This window comes from Homo sapiens, chromosome 7, assembly GCF_000001405.40.
Source record: "Homo sapiens chromosome 7, GRCh38.p14 Primary Assembly".
Classification (NCBI taxonomy): Eukaryota; Metazoa; Chordata; class Mammalia; order Primates; family Hominidae; genus Homo; species Homo sapiens.
Window position 1 is genome coordinate 114917205 of NC_000007.14, and position 22798 is coordinate 114940002.

Sequence of the window (22798 nt, forward strand, 5' to 3'; positions counted from 1 at the left end):
GCAACCTTTTTTTAAAGGAATTTTTGAACATGTTTGAAAGAGTTTTTCCTGGAATGTAAAAAGATTGACCCGACCCCCTAAAAACAGAATATAGCACTCACATAACTAACTGACTCTTTCCTTAATGACTCAGGCTCATTAGGAACATTGACTATTTCACGAAGCTGAATTCACAAAGGCGTTGTTACAACATGTTTATTTTCCTGTATCTTCCTTGTCTGTCAGCTGTCATCTCTCCTGCTGTCAGTTTTTCTGACCTAATAGCTCCCTTAGCTAATCCCTTCTCCTCAATCTTCCTGCGCCCTAAGTTTTCTTCTTCTAAAACAATGTGAGCTGAAACAGTAGAAAATAAAGTTTGATTAGAGGTGTGTATTCACAAAAGAACAAGTAGGATTTGAGAAGGATTATGTCTTTTGTGTTGGCAGTTTCTGAACATCATGAAGGTTATTTTAGGTATTTAGTATGTTGCTGTTATTTCCTGGTTTCTAGGTCATTGGGTTTGGGGATTGCCAAAGTGCTGCTTCTAACATAAATTAGGTAAATATATTTTCCAGAAAAACTATCCTTGATATAATCTGGGAATGACTCCTTAAAGGATTCAAAGCATTTAAAAAGTTTTTTTTCTAAACAAAGAAACAAAGTATTTGAATGTGAACCTTTAATGTATGTTTACTTATAAATCATACCCAAGTACTTTTGTAAGAATGTGCAATACACTGTATAAAAACATACTCAAAAGTAGAAATTAAAAATTATAACATAAAAACATATATAAATGCTCACTCTGATATTTTCTGCCCACATTTCAGTAGATTGTCTTATGCATCCCTTGGAATGCCCTTACAATTACACACCCCAGTTGTAGACCTCTGGTTTAGATATCTGTGTATGGGGATTAATTTTGACTTTACTAGGCAAATAAGCCTCTGCCCAAGTGAAAACTAATTTAGCTGCTTTTCAAGACATCAAATCAAATTTCTTTATCTCCAGAGCCTAATATGTGGCCTAGCATATAGTAGATGCACAATAAATGTTTGATGAATGTTTAATGAATGAATGATGAAGATTAAGTAGTCCATAAGGATGCTTTATAAACTCTTTTAATTAGTTCTTTATTTTATTTGCTTAGCTCATGTCAGACCTCTTTCACAATGTGTTCACATATTATTATATCATCATTAGTGTACACATCACTAGGCAGGAATGGTTGTAAGGCACACAAGAATTTCAAAGGCAAGGGGCTTTGATCCGGGGCTAGGACATTGAGTTCCACCGGCAGGCTGATACCCCTAAAGAATTTCCACCTACGCAGATTAAGATAGCTTAAGACATGGCAAAATCTAGCTTAATAAAGACAACCCAGGGGGATCTGGGGTAGCAAGTGGGACACTGACAGTAGTAGTACTTAAACAGTAGTGGTTCTCCAAGCCAAGCTGATAATGGTATTATGTCACTGGGAAGGATGTGGAGAAAAGGAGAGAGGCCAGTAAGGATACACGTGGATTGAGTTCCAAGGCACAGCTGCGTCTCAGGGCTTCTGCTTTTACTCTGCACACTTGCCTTGGACATTCTTATAACCTGCTAGTCAGCAAAGTACCATGTATATGCTTATAATCCAGTCCCATGTCCAGCAGCCTATGCAGGACAGTTCCAATTAGCTGTCTCACACATGCTGCATCATTTGCATGATTAGCTCAGCAGCTTTCCCCAAAACTGGCCTCTCCTGAATGTTTTCATCTCTGTAGGTCATACCACCACCATCAACCTGGATGCAGAAAGCTGGTAGTTGCTCTCGATTCCTCTAGCTTCCTCATCCTTTATCCCTATCTACTTGGCTCCATTCCTTCTGCCAGCCATCAGCCCTGGCCTCCAAATTGGACTCCCTAGATCCACTCTCAGTCCTCCAAACAATTTTACGCATAATACCAGAGTGGCTTTTATAAACAGTAATTTAGAAAATATGTCTCCCCCTGCTATAGTCTGAATGTTTGTAGTCCCCCAACATTCATATGTTGAATCTTAATCACCAAGGTGATGGTATTAAAAGGTGGAGCCTTGGGAAACACTTGTATGTCTTTTTTTTTTTTTTTTTTTTTTTAAGAGACAGGGTCTTGCTCTGTTGCCGAAGCTGGAGTGCAGTGGCCCACATAGCTCACAGTAACCTCCAACTCTTGGGATTAAGTGATCCTCCCGCTTCAGCCTCTAGAGTGGCTGGCTACAGGAGTATGCCACTATGCCCTGCTAATTTTTTAAAAACAATTTTGTAGAGATGGGGTCTTTCTATGTTGCCCAGGCTGGTCCTAGAGTGCTGGCCTCAAAAGATCTCCCTGCCTCAGTGTGAGCCACCACACCTGGCCTCTTGTGTCTTTTTGTAAGGACATTAATTCCATTCATGAGGGCTCCACTCTTATGACCTAACTACCTCCCAAAGGCCCCACTTACTAACACCATGACATTAGGGGCTAAGATTTTAGCATATGAATTTTGGGGAAACACAAACTTTCAGTTCGTGACACTGAGTGAAAGAATGAGAGATGAACGTACTGGAGTGCTTGTCAGTAAACAAATGAAGCAATCAGAACAAGCAAGTGCAGCCAGGGATGTGGGAAATGGGAGGCGTGAGGGACACTCAGGAGCCCACACTTAACTTCTGGCATATCAGACACCAGGTTAATGGCATTAAGACCACTTCTAGGTCCTCCAGAAGGAAGACCTGAGTTACCTAGGGATGCAGGATAGCCTGGAAGAGAGACAGACCTGAGTTCTAATCCTGAAGGTACAATCCTGGCAATTTACTTATAGGGCCGATGGAAGAATTCATTGAGATCATTTGCGTCAGGTGCATGGCATGACAAACTGGTATTTTGATATGACCCTTTTGATACAGTCATTATGCCATGCTCAGCTTTACCCATCAAGATGCTTCCGTGTATAATAGTAATAATAGTTGATACTTTTGAACACCTTTTCCCTTGAGAGTCTTCCAAATTTTATAGGAAAACTACCTTACTTAGTGCTCAAAAAGAAACTCTATGAAGAATTTCATTCTCATATTATGAGGCAACCAAGGTATAGAGTGGGTGACTAACTGTCCAAAGTCACACAGCTGAATGAGGTACAGTATTTGACAACCTTGGTGATGCTACCCTACAGCTTCTCATTTGCTCCTAATGTTATTTTAATTTTATGTCTTCTCCATTAAAGATTTTAAAATTTAATTTAAGGAATATCTATGGAATCACCCACCACGTGTGCAATATTAAGGACTGTGTGAAATTAAATGAACAAATACTTATCATTGATTATGACTTTCTAGAAGAAAGCTGTAACTTCTTTATATTATTGGACTTTAACATCTTTGTGAGAGAATTTTAAAAATAGGGCAAGGAATGATACAGGGATAAAACAGAATTTTCCAGAGCAGGTAAACAACTCCTTTGAGTGCAGATGATGCTGCAGTGAACTCTGAGACGTCCTAAATGTTTGTTCTCTAGTGGTGATGAAGTCATCTTCAGAACTGATCTGCTTCCATCAGACAAATTCCAAACAGTCCAGGCTCCTAGATAAGTTTTCAAGAGAGGTAATGCACTTGATTTCATACCATTTCTGAAATCTCCAAGTGAAAAAAAAATGTTAGTTATGTGTAATGGGGCAAAATGTCATTTGTCTTTTTGGGGAGAATGGTCTGAATGACTGTCATCAGCAACTTTGAAGGCTGTTTTTTTTTTTTTTTTTTTTTTTTTAAATGGAGTCTTGCTCTTGTCGCCCAGGCTGGAGTGCAATGGCACAATTTCTTCTCACTGCAACCTTTGCCTCCTGTGTTCAAGCGATTCTCCTGCTTCAGCCTCCCAGTAGCTAGAATTACTGGCGCCCGCCACAATGCTCAGCTAATATTTGTATTTTTAGTAGAGATTGGGTTTCACCATGTTGGCCAGGCTGGTCTCGAACTCTTGACCTCAGGTGATCCACCTGCCTCGGCCTCCCAAAGTGCTGGGATTACAGGCGTGAGCCACCGCTCCCGGCCGAAGGCTGGCTTTTTTACCATCATTGAAATCAAGTTAGAATGCACTGTCTCTTCATAGGTAACAAGTAAATCTTTGTAATCAATTGGAATAAATTCCAATGAGCTTTTTGAAAAAATGAAATTTCTGGGATATTATTAATGATGCACATAGAAAGACAGTGAATCCAATGCACATTTTCTTCAGTTTTGATAACGTTACTGTGATTCCTCGCTTGTCCAAAAGAATCGAAGAATGAGTTCGTTCTAGCTTTCTACAAATGAATTCTGCATTTCATTCACAATGAAATAAAAGAGCAAAAGTTATCTGAGTATACCACTAAAGTACTATATATCTGTAAATTACTTTACACTTGCTATCCTCGGCTCATCAGATTAAGCTACAATCAGAATGTCTCATTTATAAACGGAAAGTTGATCAGCTTTTTACTTCCGACCACAAGTTTATCTCCCCTCAGATACCACTGATCCAGTGAGGCATTTAGCTTGCCATAGGCCAGGCTGGGGCCAGTACCACGGCATCCGCAAGGGTGCCAACCTTGTTTGCCTGGATGCCTCCAGCAGATTCGCGCAAACTGCAACTGGTTTTACATCAGGAATACTGTTTGACCAAAGAGTAATTTAGGAGCCAGAGATGAAGTGAGTAAACGTTCAACCGAGGGGTCAAGGTTTCAAACGCACACGTTCTCTATCCCACCAGGAAAGTTCGATACTGTAACAGTGTTTTCGTTTTTCCTTGTCCACCCTAAAGGTTTTCGTCAGGATATTCCCAAAGCCTCCGTCGGTCTGGGGGCAGGAGTAGGGAGAAGGGATGAGGTGACTTTTTGGGCGGGGTGGGGGGAACGTCTGGGCAGCCAGGGACCTGCCCATTCACTCCCCTTTCCCAGCCCCGGGAGGGCGCAGCGCCCGGGTGGGGAGCCCGAGCCAGCCCAGGCCGGCTCTGGCCTCCTGACCCAGACAGCGCAGGGCGCGAGGGATCGCGCGGCCGAGCCCGGGTCGCGCCGCTCCCAGCATCGGGGCCGCTAGCCAAGAGTTCGAGGCCTTCCCGATCCGGATGTGATGAAAAAGAGCAACAGAGGGAGAAGTGTTTCAGGATTGTAGGAGTGGAAGAGGGGAAAGAGAGGCAGAGAGGGGGAAGGCCCCCTCGCAGGGGAGCCGGCTGGAGTGAGCTGGCTGGAAAGAGGGGGCGGAGTGCGCGGAGTCAGAGCCGCCACCGCTGCCGCAGTTGCCGCCACTGCGGCGTCTGGGCTGAGCCGGAGGGAGGCGGGAGGACGCGCAGGGGCGGCCGCCGCCGTCGTCAGGCCACCGGGGCGAAAATGCGGCCGCTGCCGGAGGCTCGCTAACTTTCCGGGGCGGAAGAGGAGGAGGAGGAGGAGGAAGGGGCTTGGAGCGACTACGGGGGGATGCGGAGGTAGGTAGTGGTCTCCGGGCGGGGAAGAGGAGGGGTTTGATCCCCATCCCCGGGGTTCTCCCAAACCCGATCTCTCTTTCCAGCCCCTCCCCGCTGGGTCCACCTCGGACCCCTGGGACCCCGCCGCTGTCAACTTGCGCTGTAACAGTTTTCTTCGCAAGTTTCAAATCAAAACTTCCCCGGGGTGGAGTTTGAGGGAGGGAAGTGGAGGGGGAGGGAACGTCCCGCAGGGGTGGTGTGCTCTTCTCTAAAAACATTTTTTTTTTTAATTTTGTATATTTTTCCGCCAGAAGCAGTCAGTTCCCTGCACCCAGCACCTCACAGCCCTTCCTCCGTGCGCCCTGCCGGGCGGCGAGCTAGGCGGCAGCGGCGCGGCGCGGGCTCGGCGGAGCGGCCCATGTCCGGCGCGGGCGAAGCCCTCGCTCCCGGGCCCGTGGGGCCGCAGCGCGTGGCCGAGGCGGGCGGCGGCCAGCTGGGCTCCACAGCCCAGGGTGAGTGCGCGCTTGCAAGTGGCAAGCTTCTTTGTCATTGTTGCATTTTTCAGTTTGCTCACAAGTGCACAGATAGGGGTGGGGGGAGTGCTGTGAGGAGGGGCTCCCACTCGTAGTTGAGAACTTTTGCACAGTTCGCGTTACTCAGGCAAGTTCTTCAGGATCCTTGCCCTAGATCAACAACCGGGTAAGAGGGCGGGAACCGTTGGTCCCTCCACTCCCCCTTCCTTTGGTTGCGAAGAAACAGGATGACAGGATTGCTTCTTTCTTAAGCATATGCATGTTTGGGCCTAAGACTCAATGTGTAGGTTCTGAAGCGCTTCTCCTCTAGGTCTCTTCAGCAGATCCAGGACTGCCGCAGCTCTCTGAACAAGCGTGCACTTACTCCATTTCATCTTTCTGTTTCTTGTTGGCTCCTCTACCACCCGGTTGATAATTCAGGTTTCTGTGACCAGTAGCTTTGGAATGGCTTATGCTTGTTTTCAATAACTGGTTTGTTTTGAAATAAATAAACAAGGTTTATAAGAAACACTTTCCAAGAATGAATTAGCTTCTTTGTGTTCTTCCAAAGTGTAAACACACACAGCCTATAAAATACTCTTGTGTCTGGGAAACTTCCATAACAAGCTTCTAAACGAGTTGAACCTTTCTTCTCTTGAAGGCAATATACTTTAGGTTTCCATTGGTGACAGAGAGGAAGGTTCTTAAACTTCTAATGCATTTTACTCTAAGGATGGTTTTGAGCTAAAGAATTCTGTCACTGATATATCAGAACTAAGTAATTTTTCCAGTGCTCAAAAACCTAGCATATACCCCTGATTTTAGGCATAAACTGATAGCTTTATTTCCCACTTGTACTAATGTAGTGAATCTTAGGGATTTTTTTTAAGGCAGCAAAAATTGGAGAAGGAGTTAACTTTCAAGCTGCAATAGGTAAAAGCAGAAAACATCTTGGTTAAATTAAAATGTTCTGGCACCCAGGGCTGTTAAACTGAATTACATTTATCATTATTTTTTGCCTCTAAATGAGTGACTCAGCTTTCTAAACAGAAAATAAAAATGATTAACTGCAGAAAATCAGAGAACTAGAATGATAAACATATGTTTTCTGAGAAGCAGCCCGTGTTCTCCACCTTGTATTGTCAGCACAATCATTTTCCTGTCATTAGGCATGCCCTTAGTAGTCATATCGACTCATTGATGGGCTGTTTATGCTCACACTTGAGCTGCTAATCACAATTGTTAAACCAGGCTTATGTCAAAAATCAACATCAAACACCCAAGGAAAATAATTTGACCTGGAAATAGCTAATATCTACAATATCCAACTTTAATAGTTTGCATTTCTAAAATCATCTGGGAGAATGTGCAGTGGTACTTAATGTACCTGTGCATTAGGATGCTGGATGGTGTCATGTGATCTGAACTTAAGAACCCGAAAATCTAGAGTGGCCTGAAGTACATTTGTTGGGTACAACACACGTTATCAGTGTAGAAACTCTTGGGTTATATTTTACCTGAAAATTGCCTTAGCTTTAGCAACATAGTTATACATTTTTATTATTATTAGTTTAACTTTGATCCAAAACTTTCTTTAAATAGGGATCAGTTTAATTTAAATATAAAGTTGATTTTTAAAAAGAGAGTCTGCAGAATCTTGTTAAAATATGATGTCTTAAACAGGCAGATGTCATAAGGTGTATTTAAAGAAAGAAATTCTTGGAGCAAATGGTTAGAGGAAAGCTTCAAGGGAAGCTTGGTTAGGTTGGTTTTATTGATAAAGACATTTGTGAAGAAGCTTTGCTCGAAGGCCACTCTACTCTTAAGCCTTTTCTCAAGTTCTTTTATCCTCTTGCTTCTGTCCTTGGATTCTTTATCATCCTTTCTGAAGAATAGCTTAATAATTCTACGGTAGGATATGGCTGCTTAGTTAACAGAAACCTAATTTTTAAATTCTTTATATTAAAGTCAGTAAGAAAAGTGGAATTTTAAATACAAATTAACAGAAAAAAATATTATTTCAGGAACATGAAGGATATGATCAAGTCTACCCCTGCAAAGTTAAATATATATATATAGGTAAATAATGACATTACAAGCTCTACATTTATTACTATACTATATTGTGATGAGCTATCCATACTGTTAACCAAAGGCATGAAACATTACAGTTGAAAGTAATTTTGGGGATTCTCTAATCTGAACTCCACATCAAGTCTAAAATTCAATTCTACATCCTTTTAGGTGTTTTGTTAAAAACCTGTAGTGAAGCCCATTCTAGTATTAGCATTAAGAATTAGAAAGGTTGTCCATATTAAGAGCATACTCTTCCTCCTTAAAGTTTCTACCTTTTTGTTGTGGTTCTGCAAGGCTTTCTATTGTTTTGAAAGCATTAAAAAGCATTACAAATCTTTCCCATGTGTTTTGAAAATAGTTACAGAGCAGGGACATAAGCTTACATGCTCCAGGCTGTAAGAGGGAACCAGGATAGATGTCAGACAGTATGGAGCAATGGGGATTTTGGGGAACTGGAGAGCTCATGGGCCAGGAAACAACATTCCTCAGTTTTAGCTAATTGTTGCCATGTGGGTTAGTATCTTCAGATATTTCAAGTGATACTGGAAATCCAGATTTTTATGTATCATCTCTCCATTTTTAAGAGTTTGCAACTAATTAAACACCAATTTTGTGCAGGCCAAACAAAACAACCACAACTGTAGGCTGGATATGGCCTCTGAGCAGCTAATTTGTGATCTCTCATACAGAAAATAGAAAGTAAACATGTAATTTAAAGCTATATTCTTATTTGTTACTACCTTGTGAAATATTGATTTACTTTCTCATGCAAAGTACTTGTATACATGTCTTGATAGGTGAAAAGCCATTTCAGTTATACTTTATTTTAAGAGATAATGGATCTTGTTTGTGTGGTCCCTGTAATTGCCATTTGTCCTGGTTTGATTAAACATTTTAAAATTCGTGTTATGGAACCACATTGAAAATGTAAGTATTTGCCCTTTGGTGCAATAGTTACTAGAACTCCTATAATCCAAAGAGCCTTTGAATTAAGTGCTTCTTTCATAAGTATGGGATTTGTAACTAGAGGGGTCTTTAGAAATAATTTAATCCAACCCGCTCATTTTTTAAATAAGGGAAAGGATGTCCAAAGAATTTAAGTGACTTGCCCAAGGTCTCATACACAGTCAGTAGCAAGAAATCAGGGTAGAAGCACAAATTATAACATAAATTGTATGTCATTGTGATAAATGCAGTTGAAGTAGAGAATCAGTTCAACTTTTTTATAGGGCTGGATGCATTGACAATAGGCTTGGGATATTGTGAATCACTTGAGCTTGTTCCCATCCCTGTATCTTTCCCCCAACCCCCCAAGACATTGCATTTGTCAAGACGTAGATCGTTGGACTCTGAGTGCTAGAATATATTTTAATGTGATAATGTGTGATTTAATGCACTCTTCTCTCTTGGGAGAGTCCTCTTGAGACTATTAGGCGGACTTTTCTTAGCAGGATGCAAAATGCCAGTGAAGTTAATTAAAAATAATCTAAAATAGAAGCTGGGGAGAAAATCAAGTTGAAATTACATAAGAAGAGCTTTGATTTAGAAGCTTAGCTGAGTTGTCAGTAGTTTATAGAGGCTAATCAGATTTTCTTTTTGGGAAGCCAGTTTATTTCAATGTATATAATGTATACTTGTACATATCTGTATTCTTCTATTTTTATCATATTATTTTATCCTTTTGATTAAGGATGGCATTTCACAAAATGTGTCATCTTTGAACAGCTTCTAATCCTGGTTCTCTACTGGGGACAATTTTGCTCTTCAGGACACATTTGGCAATATCTACAGGCATGTTTGGTGGTCGTAATGGGGGTGCTACTAGCATCTAGTGAGTGGAGATCAGGGACACTCCTGAACATTTTGTAATGCATAGGATAGGACAACCTTTACAAGAAAGAATCACCAGTAATGTTGAGATTGAGAAACTGCTATCCTTGAGGCAACTGACGTTTTTGGTTTCATCCCAGACTTATAGAATTAGGATCTCTGGATGTAAGAGCCAAGAATCTGCATTTTAATCAAGCTCCAGGTGCTCCTTAACTCTAGTTGAGAATCATTGTTTTATGGGCTTTAATCTCTAAAAGGATATGTTATAGTGATAGACTTTTAAAAACAGTCCTTTTTTTTTTTTTTGGAGGGAAAGACTTCAGAAAGCTTTTTAAAAGTTCACCTTTTCAAGTTCCAAAATTTAAATTGTTATCACTCCATGTAAACTCTCTAATAATCCTCTCTAAGATTTTTTGTCATACGCTTCAATTCATCCTCAAAATACTGCTGCATAGTCATCCTCAAAAAAGCTTATTTATTTTCATAATTATATGCACTATAATACAAATATATTTTTAACAATATAAAAGAAATGCAAAAGTAAAAATTAATAAGGATGAGAGACTAAATAAATAGAATTTTAATACTTTATTTCACTATTTCAGTAGATATTCTTGCTACCCTACACTTTGGAGACTCCAACATATGGCAAAACAAGGAAAGAAATCTCCAGTTTTCACATGAGTTGTGTTCCATTGTAAATTGGACTTTTAGAGCCTGGATTCTACTTTCTCATAGAAACAGAGGGATAAATTATATTTAGTTCCCTAATAAAAGTCAAAAGATTGTTAGAATTAAGTTTTATTAAATTTTGTGTGCTTTTAATGGTAACTCACAGAAAACATACTATTATAAAACTGGCAGCAAATACAAATAACCAAGAATAAAATTAAACTGAATAGAAATTGGTTTAAAACACTTTTTGAATACAGATGCTTGAGGAAGGACAAGCTTAATTAGAAAAATATAGAAGGGCATGTAGATTTGAAAGAGGATTTGGGAACATTTTGAATTTAGAAAATGAATCTTAGAACTTATACTTCTAACTTTTTATGCCTAAAGGAACTAATGTACATTTTATGATTTTAGTTATACAAGTGGAGGGCTTATCAGCTGGGCATATTCATTTTCCCTTTGTTAAGAAAAAGAACCAAATGAGTAAGAGAAGAATGTAACTGGGAAAAAACTAAAAACAGAGGAAGGAAGTGGTTAAAGAAGATATATCTGTAAATTTAAGAAAGCATTTGGAGAGGTTGAACTGTTTAAGAACTGTGAAAAAAAAAAGGTCTACGGAATAGCATGGTACATGCTGAGCCTGTGGCTGGCATGTTAAGGAAATCAGTGCCATAGTAGAGGCACAAAGAAAGTGTGATGGCAGAACATGGGCGAGAGAAAATATCTCTAGTAGGGGATTTGGAAAAGCCTCAAGAAAAGTTTTGATTTGAGTTGGACCAGGAAGCATAGCATGGTTGTAGGACTCAGTTCTGTGGAGATAAGTGGTAGAAAACAAGGCTTGGGGGAGATGATTACAGAATATTGGGTACTTCACCAAGACCATTGTTGGGGCTGTATGAAGGGTCGGAGAACAAGATAGCCTAAAGTCAGTTTCAGGAGGGCCCTGATTCTCTTGCTGAGGAGCTTGCATATCTCTTCTGTAGGAGTTGGTGACCACTGAAGTCTCTTAAGAAGAAAAGGACAGGAACCACTTGTGTTTTTAGGAAAACTGTTCTGGTGACAGTTCATAGAATGGTTTTGGAGGAAGAAGCAAGAGTGGAGGCAGTGATTATAATAGGCTGACAAAAGATTAGAGGACTTAGGGCAGCACCAGTAGGAGTAAAATTGAGGAAATTGATTTAAAAACAATAGCAAAAATAGGATAGAGCTTTACTCAGCTGTGAGAACCCCTGAGGGAATAGATTTTTACTTATTCATCTTTGAAACTCCTGAGACCAAGCACAGTGTCCACATTTTGATGAAATGATATGGTTGGGTAAAAAATATAGATATAGATCTATAGATAAATATAGATATAGATCTATAGATAAATATAGATCTATCTATCTATCTATCATCTATCTATCTATATATTTTGAGATGGATTCTTACCCTGTTGCCCAGGCTGGAGTGTAGTGGCATGATCTCGGCTCACTGCAACTTCCACCTCCCGGGTTCAAGCGATTCTTCTGCCTCAGCCTCCTGGGTAGCTGGGACTACAGGCGTGTGCCACCAAACCTGGCTAATTTTTTGTATTTTTTAGTAGAGACGGGTTTCACCATATTGGCCAGGTTGGTCTCGAACTCTTGACCTTGTGATCCCCTGCCTTAGCCTCCCAAAGTTCTGGGATTACAGGCTTGAGCCACTGTGCCCAGCTTCCATTCCTTTTTATAATGGAGTTAATAGACTGCCAGTTAAGGGACCTGCTATAGATATGGTGTCTCTGGATTTTGGCAATCAGACAACATCTTTAATGATAGTTTTCTCGCCTAGCCGGTGGTTGGGTAAAATATTTTATAAGGGAGATGGTGGAAAAGTAGAAATTTAAGGTAATCCATAAGTTTGCTTTGTAGCCTGAGTGGCAACCTAGGAGGAGCTGTTGAGTCTTCTTAGTCACAGGAGCATTGGATATTTGGTGGATACAAAAGATGAAAAGAGTTTTGGTTTGTTTAAGAGAAACAGGGTGCATGGAAGACTTCTCTTGCTTGGATGGGTGGATTGAATACACTCACTGTGCACTAATGAGAAGAAAGCCGGAAGTTAGAGAGAAAATGAAGATGAAAGGAGATGGAGGAGGGAGGAAGTGGTGCAGTAGGTGTTTGTAAGGGAAAGATAAAAATTCTGGGATGGAATGGGATGAAGGGACCAGTCTTTGGAAAGTTGGGAATATTCCTCTTTGAGATGGAGGTGGGAGAAAAGGATAGGTGATAATCTAGAGAACATTTGATGTGAAAATGAATATTGAGGGCCTAGATCTCAGCAAAGTAAATGGTAACATTTTCTGAGAGCAAAGGAGGTTAGGATGAATCAAGAAGTTTGAGATGTCTGGAAAAGATTTGGAAGAGGGAAGAATTAAAGGGATAGTCAATCTGGGGCAAATAAAATGCCTGCTGGGTAACACAAAGAAATTAACTAGGACTGAATGGCATGAATTCTTAGTGGAAGTGATCAGCATGGTTGATTGTCTTTCTCAGCCAGGGAGCATGCAGGAGCTTGGGAAGGGAAGCAGACAGAATGGATTTTGCAATTAGCATAGGGTTGGAGGTTGGCAGGGTGGAAGTGATGAGAGGATGACAAGTGACAAGGGATGCATATCACGCATGTGTGGGAAGTGTTTATGTTAACCGGTCTTGTATTCCAGGCTGGGAAGAGAATCCAGAGACCAGAAATGCAATTGACAGGCTAAGACCTCTGGCGAGAAAAAAAATTGTGGCTGTTGCTTTGTTTGGTCAGTTCACATATGAGGATTTAATATATATGATTGAGTGACCTTTACATGGCTATGAGGGAAGCTGTGGAATTTTTGGGTGTGTAAAGGCTTTTCCTGTTTCTTTGAACCTCGTTTCCTGGATCTTGTTGAGATGATTTCATGGAAAGAAGGCCTAATAACAGTGTGCAATTATTTTATTGGATTATGTTTCTATAATAATAAAAGGTTTGGGAGTAATGAGGAAACATCAATTGACACCATCTAAAGTTAGGCCATATGCAAATACAAAGTTATTTAGAACAACAACACATGGAACAGATAAAAAAAAATTCAACCAGATTATCTTTCTGAGACAATGTAAATATTTTTCTGTACAAAGGCAGAGGATAAATCGTGATTTCTATGTTTCTACTTCTAAAAGCATTCAGTTTTTATTAAGAGAATACATTCTGTACTGACTAGATTCTAGATTTTGGACAATTTAACTTCAGTGATTCATTGGAGTAGATCAAAGAAAGTTGCTGCAGCCCTTCTGTCTTAATCAGTGCTATGTATATGCACCAGTATTTTGGATACTTGATCTCTCTCTCTCCCTCCGTCCCCTTTTCCTCCTCCCTCTCTCTCTCTCTTTGTCTTTCCAGTAACACTTTATTGAAGTTACTTAAACTTTTAATATCTACTTTTTACATTAGCCTACATGTCCTGAAGGAGGAAAGCTTTTTAACCTTAAGTTTTTGAAGTCTAGTTATATTTTATAGATTCTTCTTCTAATCACTTAGGGTTTGCTAAGTAGAAACTATGAGAAGAGTTATTTTAACATGAATTTAATTTCGTTTGTGGTTTTTACTTACAGTCTACTTCTGTTTTCAGATTCACGCCCACATGATCTCAAGTGAGATGATTCATATACATGTGCTTTTATGCCCAATTTTTGGTAGTTTCAGGAATAAAGTCTGAAATTAATTTTTATGCTAGCACATATATTTTACTATGGAGAGATTTGAAGGGGAAAACCCTGCCCACAAATATTTTTCGGTGTGCCTACAAGGTCCTGCGAAAATTAAGAATGTATAGTTTTGCCCACAATGAATTTCTCAACAGGATGAGAAAGGATAAGACACAAATGTTTACCAAATTAAATTTCAGTCTCTTACTGAAATATCAATTCAAGATTAAAATAATAGCCATGTGACAGATTAATTTATGGCCAGATGCCAACTAACTGGTATCATCCTGGAGCAGGAAAATTTAGAGGTTGAGAGAGGATTTCAGGATGGCGAGAAGGAATCAGTTTTGTCTAAGTTGGACTGCTAGTGTCCATAGTTGAAGAATATACCGTTTGTAGGGTTTTTTGGTGAGAATTATGCCGTGTTGAGCCTTGAAACTAAGGTATCTTGTGGTCGAGCAGGTGACAGGCTCTCTGAAACTAGGTGGCAGAGTATGAAGGAACCAGCTTCCTCTCTTTACTTTTGCCACTCCGAGGCATAGTCCTCCTACTCTTTTTCAAGGTGAATCCGCCCTGATCTTTCGGGTGTTTGTAAACGCAGACGCTGCTTTTGGGTTTCTATAAACATAGTTCTTATTTCTTTCATTACTCAGGCAATACATAAGATCTGAGGGGTTGTACTATTTATTTCTCATGGGGATACAAGATAAAATTATTAAGCGTGGGAAAGTATAGGAGTTTACAATATAAAATATTCTAAAATATCTATGTTCAAATAACTCTATCAGTTTTTCACCAATATGCAAAATGGATATAATTCATACTTCAGCTAAGGAGTAACATATTTGATCTTGGTGTTAGGAAAGTATTTTTGATTGGAGGGTAAAGAGACTGAGGCACTGGTAGTGGGTGTGGAAAAGAAACTATAGATTTGCGAGAAATTGGGGAGTTGTTACTAGCAGGATCTGGTAATTGATTATTTTGGAATAGGCGACATAAAAAGAAAATAAAGAGTTGAAGGTGATTCTGTAACTACTATTAGCTAAGACACAGACAACAGTTATAGAAACAGACAGGAAGAGAAGAAAAGTGGTGATGAATTTTGGGAAATGTTGAGTCTGAGTTGCTAAAGATATATTTATGTAGAGTTAAAACTTCAAATCTGTAGCTCAAGATAGGTGTCAGGGCTAGTAAAATGGATCTACAAGTTATCTCCCTGCAATTTACTGAAACTGTGGAAGTTGATGAGACTGCAAAGATGGTAGAGCCAAAAGAATATAGGTTGTGGTCTTAGAGGAGAATCCGAAGAACTCATTGCTCTACAGCAAGGGTGGGGAGGACCCAGAAATTGAGAGGCTGAGTTAGTGAAGTTTATAAGTTCCTGATTTGGGCCTTTACAAAAATTGACAGATGACACACCTTCTGATTTCAATTTCATATCTACCATTCTGAAGTCCCAGAATTCAATTTCAGTATACTTCAAATTCACTTACAATTATCTTATTTGTGCCTTTGCCACTATTTGGAAAGCTCTTCTCTGTCCTCTATTTATTTAATTCAATATCAGACTCAAAGCATAACTCTGAAATGCTCTTACAGATTAAACAACCCCCTTTGATTCAATTTTGATTTCCACTAGCCTTCATTCTTGTAATAGTGCCAAGTAAGGGTTCTTTGCTTAACTAGAGAGCTTGAGACTAAAAATGTTCTTCATAAAATAACTCTGTATAACTGAGAGGTAACAAAAAGGTTTTTAAAACTGTGGTGCATATGCAAGTTATCATGCTGAAAGACTAAAGATGGGTGTGAATCATCATTTAAAAAGGGGAAGATGATAGAGTGTTCCATTCTTTTTTTTTTTTTTTTTCCTTTTGAGACGGAGTCTCACTCTGTCATGCAGGCTGGAGTGCAATGGCGTGATCTCGGCTCACTGCAGCCTCCGCCTCCCAGGTTCAAGCGATTCTCCTGCTTCAGCCTCCTGAGTAGCTGGGATTACAGGCATGGGCCACCATGCCCAGCTAATTTTTGTATTTTTAGTAGAGAAGGGATTTCACCATGTTGGTCAGGCTGGTCTTGAATTCTGAACCTTGTGATCCACCTGCCTCGGCCTCTCAAAGTGCTGGGATTACAGGTGTGAGCCACTGTGCCCAGCCTCCATTCCTTTTTATAATGGAGTTAATAGACTGCCAGTTAAGGGACCTGCTATAGATATGGTGTCTCTGGATTTTGGCAATCAGACAACCTCTTTCATGATAGTTTTCTCGACAAGATTAAGAAGGCTATTGCGTCTATAAGAGTGATTAGAATGTGATGCCTCTGAAAAGCCACTGAATCAACTGAGCATATTTAGCACAGAGAAGACAGAAGAACATGAGATACTTTCTAATATGGCACTGTCACATGGAGAGAAGATTAGACTTTGATTTTTTTACTTTGATTTTGCAAAAAGCAAAATGTGATGAATCAGTGAAAATTTTAGGGAAGTAGATTTTAGCCAAATGTGAGGATGGTCCGAATAATTAAAACTCTGAAAGTGGAATAAGCTATTTTCTGAGGCTGTTTCTCTATCCCTGTAAGTATTCATACCTACAGTCCTTGGCCTGTTCTTGGGAATGTTGGACGTCGAATGTTTTCATCTGAATTTATTTTATCAGCTTCTCAGAGGGACCTGTGAGAGCACATCTAACTCCAGATTTCATAAGCCTATGAATGTTTGGCTTTAGTATGAACATATTGTTTGGCTGAATAAACATAGCTGAAACTGTATGTGAGAAGGAAGGAGTTTGCTGTGCCTCAAGGTCAATCATCCTAAACATTTATTGTTGGGGTAAGGTACAGTAAGTTTAGATGAAAAAGGTGCAAGAGACTAAGATGACTAAGATGTGTCCTGGTTCCTCATATCAGATTGCTGTTATCCAAGCACTTATTTTCTTAAGTGGAAGTACAGGATTCTTCCTTCTCCCTTCATGAATTTAGAGCCCTGATTTATTGAGATATATTTTAAATGATTGCTGCACTTTATACCTATTCCTTCGCATATTTATACTCAATTGGATTTTCATATAATTTTGTAATTTGTTTTCTAATTTGCTGTGTACATACTCCATTCCTTTCACCTATCCCAAACCTATAAAGTGATTGAGTCAGTATCATTTTCCCACCATTCTTTTGGGTCTAAATATACCATAAGCTTCTAAATACATAAGAAGCCCTTCAAAGGAATATATTTTAGATCTTGCTCAGAAGTCTTATTATTTTTCAGAATACTGATAACAATGAATTAAATTACGTTGATTTTAGCATTTGATTTACTCAACAAACATTTATAGTGTATGATTATATAACTTCCTTGTGTTTGCACAATCTTGAAGTTTTATGCATATGTTCACTCATCTGTTTAAATGCTTTGGTTATCTTAATGTGTATTTTTGGACAATGCATTTTTAATCCATTTTAGAATGTTAGGCAAAGTAGGTTGGTTTTGCAATGTTCCTTAAAGGTCATTAGGCTTGAGGGTTTTTTTGTTTTTTTTGTTTTTGGATCAGTGAAGAAGTAAAATTCCAGAGCCTCAGGTCTTCCTGAAAGCTGCCTTATCTTTGGTTTTTTAAAGGTTACAGTTGGGAAACATTAGCAGAATTTCCACATTATTCTGAACTGCTGGGAAAATACAGACCTAGTTTTTTTTGTTACTTTTCCCAGAGATTTTAGTCTCAGATTACTTGAAATTTCATAAACTAGAATACATATCGATCATCTGTAATAATGCTGGTTTTTTAATGGAAGAGTAAATATGAAATTGTTTAAAGCAAGTTTGTTATACATAAGGGAGGTATGAATACAAATTGCTTATCACCAATAACAATATACATAATATGCAGATTATAAATGCTCTGTCATAGATTATTATCAAATATTTAATTGAAGTGTATGAGAGCTAACATGCAAAAGTCTCAAAATTTAAACACAAAGAGAACTAGTTATACTCCTTTTTATAAGACTATATTTTACACTGATTAAGTTTTATGAGGTTTTATAAAGATTCCTGCCAATCAACATAATTTGTATTAGTCTTTCTTGAAGTAAGCAAATAAAGTATGGGTAACAAGTAGAAAATGTATTTTTCTTTTTGTTTTTTTTTGGTTTGTGAGTTTACACACACCTCTGCCTGGTTCAGTAGAATATTTGAGGTGGCTTATAAGAATACTTTTTAAAAAGGATTAAAACAGAATAATGGTAAATATAAGTAGACTAGGAAACCCAAGTCCGGGGAAATCAGAATATATAGGTATAGGCTGTGGGGTCAAACACAGTTATTCAATTTTGAATGTAGATGTGCGTTCAAAAGAAAACTTTTGGGGGATATACTTTTCGTTGTCTATAAGGAAAAAAAATAACATACAGCTACTCAGAGGAAACAATACTTTTCCTTGTATTTAGTCTAGAAACATACTTATTGTCTGGTTTTTCATATAGAGATCACTGAAAGGATACTGCCCTCACCAGCCTCCTTATGATTTATTTATAGCGTGTTTTAAAAAAGTGCTTACTGCAATAACACTTAATGTAATAATAATTGCCAGTGTGAATGAGCTCTTATTCTATATCAGACACTGTGCTTTCCTGTCTTGATTTCATTTATTTCCACATCCACCTTACGAGGTAGAGACTGTTGTTATTCCCATTTAAAGTTGAAGAATCTGACAAAGATTAACTTGCCCAGGATCCACATCATTAGTGGTGGACCCAGGCACCCTGATTTTTGATCCTTTGCTTTTAAACACTTCTCTAGTGCAGAGTAAAACTTGGTGAGAGTACTTCTGTCCCAGAGACACTAATGAGAATCATTTTATTCGTCAGGAAGGCTTCAAGTATTTGGACTTTTAAGTGGCAATATTGCCCCCAATATTTTTGGAAAACTGTGGCATGTACAGAAATTTGAAGCAACATTCTCAGGTTCTTCTGTTACTATAATATTATTTGTTAAAAGCATTCAGTTATGGAGATAATATTATTGCTTGATTGTAAATTATTGGAAAAATATCCCTCTTCAATAGTTTGAACAGTTGTCTTATAGAAAAGGTAAAGTGTACATTTCTACCTACAAAGGGCAGAACTAAGAGTAGTTATAAATGACTTGATAGCAGATTTATGTTTAAAAAAAAAAGAATAACTTGTTAATGCACCAACCTGACCAAGAATAAAAGTTGTTCCCTTGTGAAGTAGCAATCCTTGAAATTTTGGAGAAAGGCTGAGTATTGCGATAGACGTTTCTACACTGGGTGGGATGTGAAACTAGCTGAGCTGCAGAGGATTTTATCATCCTGTTTCCAACTGAATATCTATCTCTGAGACTGTTTTCTCATCAGTAAAACTGAGCTAAGTTTTTTTCTTTATTGCATTGTTGATGGTTCTGAAGATCAAATAAATATTATATATTTAAGTCCTTTGAAAACCATTAATATTGTAATTGTGAACATTGATTAATTTATTCTTTCAACAAAGAAAATTTTTATTTTTTAAAAACTTATGTAACAAACATATTAGTTGAGTGGCTATTATATGGCATATATCATATTTTATATGTTATTATCTAATTTATTATTAATGCTCTTAGATTTTTCTCTCTTGCTAATCACCATCTTAATATTTTATTCCCCAACTGTTGGAGACAAGTAAAACTACCAAGTTTTAAATTTAGATAATGCCAACTAGGTAAAATATTATAGAATTTTAAATTAAATGGAAATTCTATTTACCTGAATATTTTTCATTCTCCTTTACCAGGAAGAATTGAGATTGGAGAAGATTGTTTCTTACCATTCATGCCCTTCTTTAGAAACAGGAAAATAAAGGGTATTGATTCTGTAAGATGGATAGTCATTTCTGAGTAGGACATATTGTATTTAAATTGATCATTTGGAACCTTTAGTTTTTCCATTTTCTCTTGCTCAATTCATGTTTGTCACTTTCTTTGAGAATTAATTCAAATCCAATGCCCTACAATGGCTTTTCTATGATTTCCTCTACTCCATTCTAAACACTCTTCCTTGTGTATATGAGAGTTTGGCTCTATTGTTTAGCTCTTGTGAAGAATCAGATTTGCAGAATTTTTGAGCCAGAAAGGCTTCTTCATTCATCCAGTTCAACCCTCTCATTTCCTGATGAAGAGGATGAAGACAATGAGTCCCAGTCACACAGATGGTCAGCCTTTGAGCCAGAATTATGACAGAGCAGTTGTCACTACCTTCTGTTTTGCAGTTGCTTGATTGTTTATGTGTGTGTGTTTGGTCTTCCCAGTGAGAGGATTTGTTGCCAGGGACCTCGCCTTTTTCCTCATCCAAAGCAAAGTAGTTCTTCCTCACTTCTTTGTCCAGAGTAAACATACTAGGATGCTCAGGAGCTAGTCTTTGGAAGTAGATGCCAGTGGTGTTCAACTATCCTTTAATCTAGTACTATTTTTAATGCATCTTAAATTTTTATTTTGATATCTAAAACATATTTCTTTTATCCCATTATTAGTAGAATTGATTAGCATTATATATAATTCAGATTTCATATATATGTATTTTTAAATGGGATTTCGCTCTTGTTGCCCAGGCTGGAGTGCAGTGGCGTGATCTTGGCTCACTGCAACCTCTGTCTTCCCGGATTCAAGCAATTCTCCTGCCTCAGCCTCCCAAGTGGCTGAGATTGCAGGAATGTGCCACCATGCCCAGATAATTTTTTGTATTTACTAGAGATGGGGTTTTACCATGTTGGTCAGGCTGGTCTCGAACTCCTGACCTCAGGTGATCCACCCACCTCGGCCTTCCCAAGTGCTGGGATTACAGGCGTGAGCCACCATGCCCAGCCAGATTTTGTATTCTTAATAGTTATCCTTACATGGAGACAGAAATAAATACCTCTATATTAATTAGATGATTAGATACAAATCTATTTTCTAGTACTTGGAATACTGTGACAAGGGGATGAGTAGCAAAGTCTGTATCTCAATATTTGATATACCTAAGTTTTTTTTAAATATAAATAGTTGTGTAGTACAAGATAAGAGTTCACTTAGAATAGTGCCCCTCAAGTCTGGCCATATATCATGATGACATCACTGCCCCAGCCCCATACACACTTGAGTTGAAATCTCTTAGGTTGGGCCTGTGCATCTTTATGTTTCAAGAGCTGCACAGCGGTTCTAACCCTGAGCCAAAGTAGAGGACCATTGGCTTAGAAAGACAGCATTGTTGAGATAATGAAGGCCCCCTTTTAAGAGAAAATTGCTACTTTGGGTTGGGGGGAATGTATGCCTGTTGGACATGTAAATAGAAATCTTATAGAAAGGTACAGACTGATTTCATATGTGACTGAAATCAACTGATTGTCTATGGGTTGTCTTTCAGGTCTACCCTACTAGTTGAGTTGCAACTACAAACCTCCATTATCCAGAGTGAAATTTATTAAACCAGGGCTGAGTTCTTTGTTTCTCATTTCAGAAATAACATGAAAAACCTACTCTGATAATAGAAATTGGTTACTAGAAACTTCCATTTTGTTATTGTAATGAGTAGTGGCTGACTCAACCAATTGAAAGCTTTAGTAAGGTTGGTTTCATGTTTGGATATCATGATCCCCATCTTACAATTATCTATCAATAAATCCTGCTCCCTCTTCAGAGCATTTCTTCAGTGTTATATGTAACTGCCCACCATTTATGAGACTGCCATATGGGTAGCTCATTGAAATGAGTAAATAGTAAGACTATATTAATAAAATAACATGCATATATTAGAAAGTCACAGAACAGTCAAGTGGTCACAGAAGTTTTGTTTATACAAGTGGAGAATTGGCAAAAGTCAATTTAAATTTTTTTATTGGGAACCTTTTCTGAATCTTGCTTTGGGCTGGGTGCTGCGGATCACAGCAAAACCCTGAGACCAGCTTTTGAGCCAAGACATTTAGTTTTCAAGAGAAGCAAAGTTGAATAGACTGAGGATAGTGAATTAATAGTAATTGCATATTATTTACTATTCATTGAATATAATCATACAGAGAATGATAGTCTTTTTCTTTTTTGACCTGAGATGGACACTGGGAATCACCTAATTCTAGAATTTTGCAGATAAGGAAACTTTCTTAAAAATGTGATAAATTGTCCATTAATAACAATTTAGAGCAGGAAGAACTTTATTTTTTGCCTAGAGTGGGTTATATAGTTGTGCATCTATGTGTATATGGTCCACATGGCATTTTCATTTATTCAATGGAGAGTTGAGAGGGTCTGTGTTTAGCACTCGAATATTGGACATGATTCAAATATGAGTCAAGTGTGTCTAGAGGCTTTATTCATACCTATTTTCTTTTAGTCAGCAATGCTTCATAATGCCTTGGTTTCACGAATTAATTTTAATGGAATTAAATTTGAACAGCTCAAAATTATATAATTAATTTCATTCAGCTTCAATTAAAGTTACTAATTGAATCAAGCCTACTAGCATGACACCTGGCGGCAGTCAGCTACATAACAATGGCAGCAAGTATGTAGGACTCTGCTGATGAGCTAGTTCTTGCCTACTAGTGAGTTTCCATGAAAAATCTCTTTTATTGATAA

The 22798-nt window shown here is 38.4% G+C and overlaps 1 protein-coding gene across 3 annotated transcripts in view, besides 7 other annotated features; it reads left to right on the plus strand.

Moving 5' to 3' along the window:
• Positions 4830-4969: a silencer, noted in NCBI's record as "silent region_18548". NCBI's record gives its function as "represses an Ori minimal core promoter by ATAC-STARR-seq in GM12878 lymphoblastoid cells {active_cell/tissue: GM12878}" and the evidence as "EXISTENCE:reporter gene assay evidence [ECO:0000049][PMID:35858748]".
• Positions 4890-22798, plus strand: part of MDFIC (MyoD family inhibitor domain containing) — a 97824-nt gene continuing 79915 nt past the window's right edge. For 2 of the 3 annotated variants that reach the window (NM_001166345.3, NM_199072.5), the window contains exons 1-2: positions 4890-5432; positions 5723-5923. In NM_001166345.3, the coding sequence (NP_001159817.1) occupies positions 5830-5923 (94 nt within the window). In that variant the 5' untranslated portion in view covers positions 4890-5432; positions 5723-5829. Of the gene's footprint in view, positions 5433-5722; positions 5924-6254; positions 6462-22798 lie in introns of those variants that run through there. The other variant, NM_001166346.1, reaches the window with a different exon arrangement.
• Positions 5300-5349: a silencer, noted in NCBI's record as "silent region_18549". NCBI's record gives its function as "represses an Ori minimal core promoter by ATAC-STARR-seq in GM12878 lymphoblastoid cells {active_cell/tissue: GM12878}" and the evidence as "EXISTENCE:reporter gene assay evidence [ECO:0000049][PMID:35858748]".
• Positions 5360-5539: a silencer, noted in NCBI's record as "silent region_18550". NCBI's record gives its function as "represses an Ori minimal core promoter by ATAC-STARR-seq in GM12878 lymphoblastoid cells {active_cell/tissue: GM12878}" and the evidence as "EXISTENCE:reporter gene assay evidence [ECO:0000049][PMID:35858748]".
• Positions 5770-5909: a silencer, noted in NCBI's record as "silent region_18551". NCBI's record gives its function as "represses an Ori minimal core promoter by ATAC-STARR-seq in GM12878 lymphoblastoid cells {active_cell/tissue: GM12878}" and the evidence as "EXISTENCE:reporter gene assay evidence [ECO:0000049][PMID:35858748]".
• Positions 12858-13407: an enhancer, noted in NCBI's record as "OCT4-NANOG hESC enhancer chr7:114570117-114570666 (GRCh37/hg19 assembly coordinates)". NCBI's record gives its function as "activates a minimal SCP1, AML or CMV promoter by ChIP-STARR-seq in naive H9 embryonic stem cells {active_cell/tissue: H9 hESC(naive)}" and the evidence as "EXISTENCE:reporter gene assay evidence [ECO:0000049][PMID:30033119]".
• Positions 14660-14719: a silencer, noted in NCBI's record as "silent region_18552". NCBI's record gives its function as "represses an Ori minimal core promoter by ATAC-STARR-seq in GM12878 lymphoblastoid cells {active_cell/tissue: GM12878}" and the evidence as "EXISTENCE:reporter gene assay evidence [ECO:0000049][PMID:35858748]".
• Positions 14800-14879: an enhancer, noted in NCBI's record as "active region_26524". NCBI's record gives its function as "activates an Ori minimal core promoter by ATAC-STARR-seq in GM12878 lymphoblastoid cells {active_cell/tissue: GM12878}" and the evidence as "EXISTENCE:reporter gene assay evidence [ECO:0000049][PMID:35858748]".